The sequence below is a fragment of the Homo sapiens genome, chromosome X (genome assembly GCF_000001405.40).
Source record: "Homo sapiens chromosome X, GRCh38.p14 Primary Assembly".
Lineage (NCBI taxonomy): Eukaryota > Metazoa > Chordata > Mammalia > Primates > Hominidae > Homo > Homo sapiens.
Window position 1 is genome coordinate 10,132,739 of NC_000023.11, and position 11,994 is coordinate 10,144,732.

The 11,994-nt window shown below is 46.9% G+C and overlaps 1 protein-coding gene across 1 annotated transcript in view; it reads left to right on the plus strand.

Moving 5' to 3' along the window:
* The window catches only part of WWC3 (WWC family member 3), a 129,221-nt gene extending 117,485 nt beyond the window's left edge, over positions 1 to 11,736 (plus strand). Inside the window, 5 exon segments of the mRNA NM_015691.5 lie at positions 1,694 to 1,858; positions 3,895 to 3,987; positions 5,971 to 6,198; positions 6,675 to 6,802; positions 8,697 to 11,736. Coding sequence (NP_056506.3) covers positions 1,694 to 1,858; positions 3,895 to 3,987; positions 5,971 to 6,198; positions 6,675 to 6,802; positions 8,697 to 8,763 — 681 coding nt within the window. The 3' untranslated portion in view covers positions 8,764 to 11,736.

Consider the following 11,994-nt stretch of genomic DNA (forward strand, 5'->3'; position numbering starts at 1 on the left):
GCCCAGATGAATTTTTTTTTTTTTTTTTAAGTAGAGACGGGGTTTCATCACGTTGGCCAGGCTGGTCTCCAACTCCTGGCCTCAAATGATCCACCTGCCTTGGCCTCCCAAAGTGCTGGGATTACGGGCGTGAGCCACCGCACCTGACCAAGATGTCTTTAGTTTCTCTAGGCAACCAAACATCTCCAGACTCTAACTTCCTTGGCTATTGTTTTAGGCTACTATTACCTTCTTGCTTATCAGGTTACTTACTTACATCTCAGGGATAGCGAGGTACCTGGAATTTCCCTTGAAAGAAATTGATTTTCCTTTATTTCCATGCTCGGGAGGTCTGCAGGCCCCTAAAATGGGGTCTCTGCTCTATCTCAGGAGTGGGAATGGGGAGTTGTTTAGTGGAGAGGACAGAGTCTCAGATTTACAAGGTAAAGAAGTTCTGGAGATCTGTTGCCCATCAGTGTGAATGGACGCCACTGAACTGTGCCTGTACAAATGGTTAATATGGTAACTTTTGTTGCGTGTTTTTTTCCCACAATATTTTAAAAAACAGGGCCCTGAAGGGCCTCACTGAGAAGGCAGTGTTTGAGTAGAGATCGTCAAGGAAGGGAGCTCAGAGCTTTGTGCAGAAGCATGGGCAGGTGTGGGAGCAGCCAGTGTGTGTTGTGGGGCGGTGCTGAGGACGAAGGGAGTGTGTTGTGGGGCCCACTCAGGACCCTTCCTTTTCTCTGAGGGCATGAGAAGCTGGTGGGTTTTGAGCCCAGTGGCAACATGATCTGACCGTAGCTTTTTTGTTAGTGCTTTCTAAAATTTATTGAGTTGAAGTTCACATAAAGGGAAGCATTTTAAAGTGTATGCATCAGTGGCATTTGGTCCACAGTGTTGCTCACCCGCCACCTCTATCTAGTTTCATGACGTTTCAATCACCCCAGAGTAAAACCCGTCCCCATTGAGCAGTCACTCCCATTCCCCTCCCCCTAGCCACCTGCAGCCACCAAAATCTTTCTAGCTGTGTGGATTTACCTCTTCCGGATGTTTCCAGAAGTGGAATCATATACTATGTGGCCTTTGCCGCATGGCTTCTTTCACTCAGCACGATATTTTCAAGGTTTATTTACATTTTAGCGTGTATAAACACTCCGTTGGTTTTTATGGCTGAATGCTATTCCCTTGTGTGGATAAGACCACATCTTGTTGATCCATTGATCTGTCAATGGACATTTGGGGTGTTTCCACATTTGGCCAGTTTTCCTGGGATGTCCCTGGTTGCTGTGTTGAGAATAGATCGAAGGGCAGAGAGGTGTGGAATTGGGAAGACTGGTGAGGCACCTACTGCACTCATCCAGGCATGAGATAATGGCGACTCAGGTGAAAGGTTGCTGACAAGTGCTCAAAACCCCCTTGATCTTGAACACAGAGCCAGCAGGGATCGCTCTTGGACCAGATATGGGGTGTGCAAAAGAGATCGGAAGTCCGGGATGGCCCTAACGTTCTTTGCATGAACAAATGGAAAGTTGAGATCCCTGTGAGAGGAGGGGCCAGGGTGGGGTTGGGGAGATATCAGCTTTTCCATTGTGGACGTGCCACATGTGAAACGCCAGCTAAACCCCAAGTGGAGAAGTGAAAGACATGGTTGTTCCCATAAGTTTATTGCTCACATTATGAAAGAAGCCATAGTCATGAGTGAACCACTCCCTAGGTTGATAAGGAAACCAACACGGAAGATCTCTTTCTGGAAGAAGCAGCCAGCCTCGTGAAGGAGCGGCCCAGCCGCCGGGCCCGAGGGTCGCCTTTTGTTCGGAGTGGCACGATTGTCCGTTCCCAGACATTCTCGCCTGGAGCACGAAGCCAGTATGTTTGCAGAGTAAGTTGGAATCCCTTTGTCACCTGTCTGGAATGTTTTGTCTTCCATCCCCTTTGTGATTTTTTTTTTCTGCTGTTCATACTGAAAGGCATATGTATTTGCACCAATAATACCAATCCATGAACTATGAACTTTATAGGTATGCGGTGATGACATTGGTGTTGTGATCTCCCCGCATGTCCTACCATGCTTATCTGATTCTGGATTTGTTCAGGATTCAAATTCATCCCTTCCCCCAGTTTTCAGTGTTGTGTATGTATTGACCTGTGGGGCAGGAAGCAGGGCGAATCATTTCTACCTCAGCCTAAGGAACAAGTGGAAGCAGGGGCCCTCTTGAATGGGTTGAGCTGGAGGAGCCGGGAACCTGAGTGGCTTGGAGCCCTGTGGGGCAGCCAGGTTTCTGGGCCAGAGGGTGGATGGTCCTGGCAAAGGGGCAGTGGGTTCTCACTCACCCACATGTAACTTCCCAACCTGTGGATGAGTGGGAGGCGCTCAGCGGTTCTCAGCCATGGCTGTGCCTTGCAGTCAAATCATGTCGGGGGATTCAACAGATCCTGGTACCCACATAGCACCCCAGAGATTTGCCATTGGTCACAGGTAAGGCCTGGGCGTCAGAACTTCCGGAAGCACCCAGATGGTTCTAGCATGTCACACAAGGCTGAGAACCCCAAGGTGGGTAGAGGGAAGATGCGAGCCAGTGTGGTCAATGAAGGTAGGACAGAGTGATAGTGCCAGCATGGACTTGTACAGAAAGGGCTTTTAAGGATGATGGCTCATGACACAGTGACCTGGAGGGGCCATTTGGTTGAGAACCATGACCCTTCCTGCACCTCTGAATTGGGGCTGTTGAAGAAGGCATCTGCCCTGGAGGTGCTCGCTCCATGAGGGCAGAGCCAAGGCAGATCTTCGGAGAGGGAAGGGCCTCAGACCCTCAAAGGAGATGTGGCAAACACTGTGGGAGGGGGCCTAGGTGGCCAAAACAGCCTCTCAGCCATGTTGGTGAGACCCGCTGCTGTTGTCCCATTGGTCTGAAGTGTCCCTGCTGGCAGCTGCCCCAGGTGGCGCCGCGTCCGGTACAGGCCCTCCCACCCGTCACACTTCAGCCCCGTGGAGGCTGATGCTCAAGCGCTTGGCTGGACGCTCTAGATGGAAGGCCACGTTCACCGCCCTCCTTGTTCCAGGCTCCTGCCGAGCCACCAACGTGTCGGCTGGCGGGGCTGCTTATTGAGGCGGGGAGGGTGCAAGCAGGTAGTGTTTTGCTTACTCAGAGGAAATGCTCTGTGTGCCTGCGTAACAGCTGCACTTACTGGCGATGCTTCTGGATGCTTCGCTGTTCTGTATGTTTGTATGAACGCCGTGCAGGTATGCTGCCAGGCCGCTGCACTTCCTGAATAGGTTTACTGGCGTGGAAAATAAGGCCACGAAGGCAGGGATGTTGGATTTCACACAGATTGACACTGATCCTGAGGTGAGACCCTGCCACCAAAATGAAGGCTGTAATGACTTGGCTCCCATAAAGATGACATTCTTTACTTCCTGTTTAAAAGCACGCCCTGTCCTTTGATGGGCACAGCTGCAGTTGGCAATGTTGGCTTGTCCTACTACCAGAAGTGAGTCTCTTTTTTGGAAGTCACTTTCCCCAGCTATTGCCAAAGCCACAAATACAGCACATGAGAAAGACTGAGGAAAAGTGAACCGTGCTGAGGGCAGCGCTAGCCTTCATGGGGGCTGTACAGGGCACAAAATGGCATTGGTATCGATCACACAGAGATTTTGTTGGCTCAGTTAGCCTGGAAACTGGGGGAGGGTTTCGTTTGCTTTGTTTTTGTTTTGTTTTGTTTTGTTTTTTTCATTTTAGCAGAAACTCTTCTTTAAATTGAAACCCAAAGACCTGCTACAAGCACCAATAATCATAAGTGCACTCGAGGGCCTGTGAAGAGGATGAAAAGAATCCATTCTGAGACTCTGACTACACACACACAATGAACTGTGCATTGCTGAGAAATTGTTTCTGAACATCATTCTTTTTTGTGCAGCTTTATCGTAGTGACAGCGACAGTTCAACGCTGCCCCGGAAGTCCCCCTTTGTCCGAAATACTTTGGAAAGACGAACCCTTCGCTATAAGCAGGTATGTGCCCTGTAAACAAATATGGAATCTGTGCTTGCCCTGCGAGTGATTTTACAAGCCTTAAAAAGGTAACATTTAAGGTCATGTAAATGAAAAGGTAGTATTTCTATTTCTTGTTTACTTAACAGATGTAATGTCGTAATGTTGCTAATATTTCTTAAGATAGTATCATGATTTCAGATAATCTGTGATCTTTACATTCTTCAGTATAATAAATAACCATTTTTATATAATAGGCTGTTTTCTCTTTTTTTGACAGGAGAGTATATATAGTTTAGAAAAGTTGAGTTTTTCAACATGTTGCTTTTCTGGGCAGGGATCGTTTGAATAATATATATATATATATATATATATATATATATATATATATATATATATATATATAGTGTGTGTGTGTGTGTGTGTGTGTGTAGAGAGGAAGAGAGACAGACACACAAAAAACCCCCAATTTCCACGTGGCAGTTGTGCTCCACCACATACAAGAGTGGCTGCTGACTGGGAAGAATAAGAAAGTTTATAATTTGGGCCGGGTGCAGTGGCTCACGCCTATAATCCCAACACTTTGGGAGGCTGAGGCGGGCGGATCACCTGAGGTCAGGAGTTCGAGACCAGCCTGTCCAAAATGGTGAAACCCCGTCTCTACTAAAATTATGAAAATTAGCCAGACATGGCAGCACGTGCCTGTAATCTCAGCTACTCAGAAGGCTGAGGCAGGAGAATTGCATGAACCCGGGAGGCAGAGGTTGCAGTGAGCTTACGTCATGCCACTGCACTCCAGCCTGGGAGACAGAGCAAGACTCCGTCTCAAAAAAAAAAAAAAAAAGTGCATAATTTGGCTTCAGAAGTGTCTCTCAGCAGCACCACTGCTGGCATTTCAGACAGGCTCATTCTTTGCTGTGGGGGCTGCCCCGTGCACTTTAGGATGTTGAGCAGTGTCCCTGGGCTCCACCCACCAGATGCCAGTAACACCCCATCACATACACAGCAGTTGTGACACTCAAAATGTCCACAGACATTGCCAGCTGTCCTCCCGGGGGCCAGATTCTCCTGGTTGAGAACCATGAAGCTCTGCTGAGAATTCAGCAGTGCTTTTAAAGAATTTATATTTGTTAAGTTACAACCCATATTTGCATTTAAATTCTGTGTATGTGCAAAATAGCGTTGTGTGTGTAAAAAGCATACCGTGACTCAGGCCACTGACCCATGGTGATTGGCGAATGGATTTGTGGTTTTGCTGCGGTGACTGCTGTCTCAGGGTTCTGTTTCCCATTGGATGGGAAGTACTGCTCTCAGTTCCGCAGACAAGAGTCTTTTCCCTGTCAGGGCTTTCCTGAGCCTAGGTATGTTTGCTTACTTGAGGCTTATATGGGGAGGGAAGCTTTGGACAGCTTGCATGTGTGTGTCTGCGTGTTTGCGTGGGAGTGTGTATACTATTTTTTAAACAACAAGCACTCATGGTTTATAACGTACTTTCTTTCCCCTTGTACAGTGGATCATTAAGATTTTTCCATGTCCATATATTTTTTTCAACTTGTTACAATGGCTACATTTTATACTGGCCTTGTAATTTATTTAACGTTTCCTGCTGTTATAGACTTACTTTTTTTTTTCTGTCATAAACCTTAATTGGACCACTTTTGCATGTCAGCAGTTATGCCTTTCAGATGCAAGTTTGCTGTAGACATATATATATTCTCAAATGGCCCTTCAGAAAGATTGTTCCATTTTTGATCCTGCCAGCCCCATATAAGAGCATCTGTTGCTGCACATTTCTGCCAATACATAGGTCATCATTAAAGAAAAACAATTTGCTGTTACTAACCTTGATACTGAACTAGAGATTTACATTCCTCTTGCCCACATCTGTGTTTTTTAACCTTGGGCGTGCTTAGAGAAATACGTGTGCCTGACCTGTCTCCTATTAATTGTGGAAGAACCTTCTAGAAGGCCTGAGTGAGGGCTCACAGCTGGCGTCTCTTGCAGTCATGCAGGTCTTCCCTGGCTGAGCTCATGGCCCGCACCTCCCTGGACTTGGAGCTGGATCTCCAGGCGTCGAGAACACGGCAGAGGCAGCTGAATGAGGAGCTCTGCGCCCTCCGTGAGCTGCGGCAGCGGTTGGAGGACGCCCAGCTCCGTGGCCAGACTGACCTCCCACCCTGGGTGCTTCGGGACGAGCGGCTCCGTGGCCTGCTGCGGGAGGCCGAGCGGCAGGTGGGGGTCCCCTGTGGCCAGCTCCCGCCTGCACCTCACTGCTCCCTGCTCCAGGCTCTGAAGGGAGCCTCCCAGACACAGAGGTGGTCCCTGAAATACCCCACCACTGGGCTCTTGGAGTCCCTTCTCCCTCTGTGGGCTGCGAGGGTGGCGTCTGTGTGGCTTCTGCGTGCATCTGGAGGCTGCGGGTGCTGGAGGAGGGGTCACGGGCCCTCCCCACCTTGTTGGGGGAACATTCTGGGTCCCCAGTCGCTAGGCCTGACTCCAGCCACCCCCTGGCCTCTGTCTCCTGGGAGGAATTCCTTGGGGGGAGTGTGGGTGAGGTGGGCCTTACTCCCTCCTGTCACCACTCGCTGACTGTGGTTGGTTCTTCTGGGCTCCAGGGTTGGCAGTGAACTTACTCATTCTTCCTTAAAAAAAAAAAAAAAAAAAAAAATCAATAAAATCGTCTTGTTGGTCCAACGTTGCTGTTCCAGACAAGACAGACCAAACTTGACTACCGTCATGAGCAGGCGGCTGAGAAGATGCTGAAGAAGGCCTCCAAGGAGATCTACCAGCTGCGTGGGCAGAGCCACAAAGAGCCCATCCAAGTGCAGACCTTTAGGTATGGCGGAGGCGTGGCAAGGCCGGCCCCTCGGCCCTGCTTCCTCCTTACTGTCGTGCCTTTGGCATGGTAAAAAAGTACAGTGAGTCTGTTTTTGTTTTTCTTCTGAGACAGAGTCTCACTCTGTCACCCAGGCTGGAGTGCAGTGGTGCGATCTTGTCTCACTGCACCCTCTGCCCCCTGGGCTCAAGCAAGTCTCATGCCTCAACCTCCCGAGTAGCTGGGATTACAGATGCGCACTACTATACCCGGCTAATTTTTAAATGTTAGTAGACTGGGTTTTGCCATGTTGCCCAGGCTGATCTCAAACTCCTGACCTCAAATGATCCACCTGCCTCAGCCTCCCAAAGTGCTGAGATTACAGGCGTGAGCCCCTGCGTCTGGCCGTGTGAGTCTGTAAAACCCCTGGGAAGTTGAGAACAAAACAGGAATCCACTGCAGCCAGTAGTGTATTTTCATGTTTTTATCCTGATCTTTTTTTCCTACAGTTTTTTTTTCATGCCACTTCTAATCATAATGCGGGTTCAGTTTGGCATTTAGCATTTTTTAAATTAAAATATTCCATATTGCTATATAATGTGCTATCTTGTTTGACTGTAATGTCTCATCTAATAGTTTACTCAACCACTATATTTTATAACATGCTGCTCGTCTTCAAATGTTTGCTATTGTAAATAACAGTGATATACATACACATACATATATGTCCCCCCACCCCCAGACAGGGTCTCACTCTGTCAGCCAGGCTGGAGTGTGGTGGCTCAGTCATGGCTCATTACAGCCTTGACCTCCCAGGGTCAAGTGATCCTCCCACCTCACCCTCCCAGGTAGCTGGGACTGTAGGCACATGCCACCATGCCCTGCTCATTTTTGTAGAGATGGGGTCTCACTGTGTTGCCCAGGCTGATCTCGAACTCCTGAGCTCAAGCGATCCACCTGCCTCAGCTGCCCAAAGTTCTGGGATTACAGGCATGAGTCGCTGCACCCGACCACCTTTGCTTTTTCAGTTAACTTTTGATTAAGGCAAAATGTATCTGCAGGAAAGCTGCGTATCATACACACATGGTCCAGTGAATTGTTACAAACTCGTCCTAAGAATCGGTCATTATCAGTGCCCCCAGATCCCACACTAGAGTAACCACCACCTTGAATTCTAATAGTATAGATTGGTTTTGTCTGTTTTTGTTTTTGCTGAGGGGATTTTTACAGATGCATCAGTATTCTTTTGTGTCTGTAAAAAAAATTAAGTTGAAATTCACATAACATAAAATGACCCATTTTAAAGTGAACAGTTCAGCCTTTGGCGCATTCACAATGTTGCACAACCACCCCTCTGTCTAGTTCCAGAACATTTTTACCACCCCAAAAGTAAACCCTATGCCCATTAAGCAGTCACTCCCCGTTCTCCCTCCCCTAGCTCTGTCTCTAGGGATATGCCTTTCTGCCTGTTTCATAGGAATGGGATCATATCTTACGTGGACTTTTGCATCTGGCTTCTTTCCTGCAGCTGAGGGTTTTCGAGGTTCATCCATGTAGCCTATGTGCCAGTGTGTCCTTCCTTGTTAAGGGCGAATAAAATGTGTCTTTTAGCCCTAATTTTTGTATACATTTAATATTCACATAGTTTTCACTTTTTCATTCATTTGTTAATACGACAGGTATTTCCTGAGCACCTAATATACACCAGGCACTGTTCTAGGTACTGGAGATGAAGAAACCCCTGCTCTTACGGTTCTTCATAATTAACATTTGGAGACTCTATACAAGCACATGTGTTGTTGGGGACTTAAATTCAGTTTGTTGTATGAATAAGAAAAGCCATGATTGATATGAGAGCCACCAGCTTTCCGTGTCTTCATATCAGCTTCTGACCTGTAATTGTCTCCGGTCCCAGGGAGAAGATAGCATTCTTCACAAGGCCAAGGATCAACATACCTCCTCTCCCAGCCGACGACGTCTGATGGAGTGCATTGTGCACATGAAGTATTTATCCACCTGTTTTATTTTCATGAAGTTCTTAGACTAGCTGAATTTGTCTTTAAAATATTTGTGCAAAGCTATTAATATACACATTTTGTAAAAAAAAAAAAAAAACACGTATATCTATACATATATATTTTATAATAGTGACGGCAACAGGGCTTGGTTTTTCCTTGTTGTGAAATCGACATCTCTGAAGACAGGTTATTTTATAAAAGATCAACTATCATGTTAAGAATGTACAGTTTTTATGCTGTTTTATTTGACTTAAAGGCTGGAAGACAGAAACGAAGTGAGTTCAGGCAAATTCACTGTATTGTAATTTATTTATAGTACTTTTTTTTCCTTGAAGGAAAATACTGACTTTAAGATGTATTTTAAGACTGAAATTTTGTTCTTTAGTACTTTTCATGCAGTAGAACGGAACTTGGGGCTGGTTTGGTTTTTGACACCTGAAATGCGAACGCTATGTGCTAAATTTGTCACCGTATCATATGTGCATTTACCATGTATATTGTACACATTCACTCCCTTGATGTCATGTTAAAATGTCCCCTGCAGTGGTTCAATCGTGACTCGGAAGCATGTGTGTGTTGCAGAGGTCAGTCTCTGGCGTGGGCCGCACGCCAACCGCTCATTTCTGTGTTGCCTTTGGAAGCATCTTTCTGTGCTCAGCGTGAGTCTGAAGCAGGCGCCAGGGCCTCTGGTGTACGGGGCTTCAGCCTGCTTGCTTGTGGTGGCTGTCTGTGGGGCTTCAGCCTGACTGTCCGTGGTGGCTGTCCATGCTGCCCGCCTCCCCCCACCCCGCCCTGTCCGACTGTAACAGACCAGGAGGGTGGCGGAGGAACTCCTGCCACGCCACTGTGTCATGAAGGAAAGTGAAAGGGAACGAGGAAGTAGGAATGCCCACGCTCGTTGACTCCGTGGGTGAATACAGCAGTTAGGACATACACACCATCACCTTTGAAAGTGCTTGTTTGGGGGAGGGAAGGACATACGGGTAACTAGAACTACCCAGCGAGTCGTCCAGAGGAGAGGATCAGGTTTGAGTCAGGAGGCTCCCTGTACTGGAGTCGTCCCACTATTCCTCAAGAAATCTTAGAACCAGCTTGTGAGGAAAAACATTTTTTAATGTAATAAAAATATGCCATTATTCTTTGAAATGCCAAATGATATAAATATTTTGCCTAATACATATTTATTGTAGATGAAATGCACTCTTCTCGATGAGGCCTCGATTTGAATCAATGGGGTGGGCCACAGGAAATGTCAGAGGAACCAGAACTCAGAACTCTTCCTCCTGGACCTTTCTTCCCTTCCCTTGGAGGTATCCCTTTGAATCAGGCCTCTCTCTTCTCATCAGTCTGTAGCTTCCCCCCTTGTATAACCTGCTTTCCTTTTTACATTTATTAAAAGTGGATTTTGTAAAAGCATTTCATTGACACGCGACCTATCACAGACAATGGAATTCGTCAGTGGTGGTAAGACTGAAATCCTGATGCTTTTCACACTTCTTGTCTCTTGCTATGTATTTCTGCCTCTAGCCTTGCCATGTTTTGCCTTTTTTTTTTCTTTTTGGCCAATTCCTTTTTATATGTGCCCACAACAGAGGTGGGGAGACACGGAGCACCCTGGGTCCTTCCCAGCGCTGCTGGGCAGGCCCCGTCTCCAGGCCCCAGCTGTTGAAACTTTGAAGGGCAACAAACAACCATCCACACTGCCGGACCCTAGGCTGTTCAGGGAGGCAGCTCATTTCCACCCCGGCCCCAGGACACCCAGCCTGTGCCCCACAAGGATCTCTCTAAATGGGAGGGATTGAGGCTACTTTTCTGCCAAGCCCTATTAAGTAGTAATGTGGGGAAACCCACTGTGTCAGTGCAGGAAGCCCTAGACAAATGTTTTCAAATAAATTTCACTGCCCAGCCTGCACAGATTTCCATTTGAAGTACTTCCCATCCACCCTGACACCCAAAGGGGTTTTTTTGTTTTGTTTTGTTTTTGAGACAGGGTCTTGCTTTGTTGCCCAGGCTGGAGTGCAGTGACGTGGTCATAGCTCACTGCAGCCTCAACCTCCTGGGCTCAAGTGACCCTCCTGCCTCAGCCTCCCAAAGTTCTGAGATGATAGGCATGAGCCATTGTGCCTAGCCTATTTTGATTTTTTTCTTAGAGTCAAGGTCTTGCTCTGTTGCCCAGGCTGATCTTGGACTTGCGAGCCACCATGCCTGGCTGGGTTTTTTAAAAATAGAATCTCACTGATAGCCTGCAAGAAACAGATGCAGTGCCTGCTTCCGTATCAGTCCAAGGAGCCCTCGTGTTTGCCACCTTTACCTTTGAACCTCCCCCTGCCTCCCTGCCTGTGTCCGCTTTTGCAGCTCAATGCAGCCATGACAAGGAAAGAAAAGACAAAGGAAGGCCAGAGAGCCGCGCAGTTCTCTGCAGGTGCAGATGCAGGCAGTGGAGGTGGCCTGAGCAGGCAGAAGGACACCAAGCGCCCTATGTTGCTTGTCATTCATGACGTGGTCTTGGAGCTTCTGACTAGTTCAGACTGCCACGCCAACCCCAGAAAATACCCCACATGCCAGAAAAGTGAAGTCCTAGGTGTTTCCATCTATGTTTCAATCTGTCCATCTACCAGGCCTCGCGATAAAAACAAAACAAAAAAACGCTGCCAGGTTTTAGAAGCAGTTCTGGTCTCAAAACCATCAGGATCCTGCCACCAGGGTTCTTTTGAAATAGTACCACATGTAAAAGGGAATTTGGCTTTCACTTCATCTAATCACTGAATTGTCAGGCTTTGATTGATAATTGTAGAAATAAGTAGCCTTCTGTTGTGGGAATAAGTTATAATCAGTATTCATCTCTTTGTTTTTTGTCACTCTTTTCTCTCTAATTGTGTCATTTGTACTGTTTGAAAAATATTTCTTCTATAAAATTAAACTAACCTGCCTTAAGAACAGAGTGGAAATGTGTGGCTTTATGGAAAAAGAATGTTTAATTATGGAAGCTTAAATATATAAAAATGTGTGTTTTTCAAGCATAAAAACAGAGGTATAAAATCAGAGAAAATAGCTGAACGCAGCGCTCACCCAGCTTCAACACGATCATTCACGGCTGCCCTCTCCTTTACCCTCCAGCCCACCTCCTCCTCTTAGAATTTGAAGCAAAGCCCATATAGCTTATCATTTCATCTTTAAATATTTCAATATGTATTG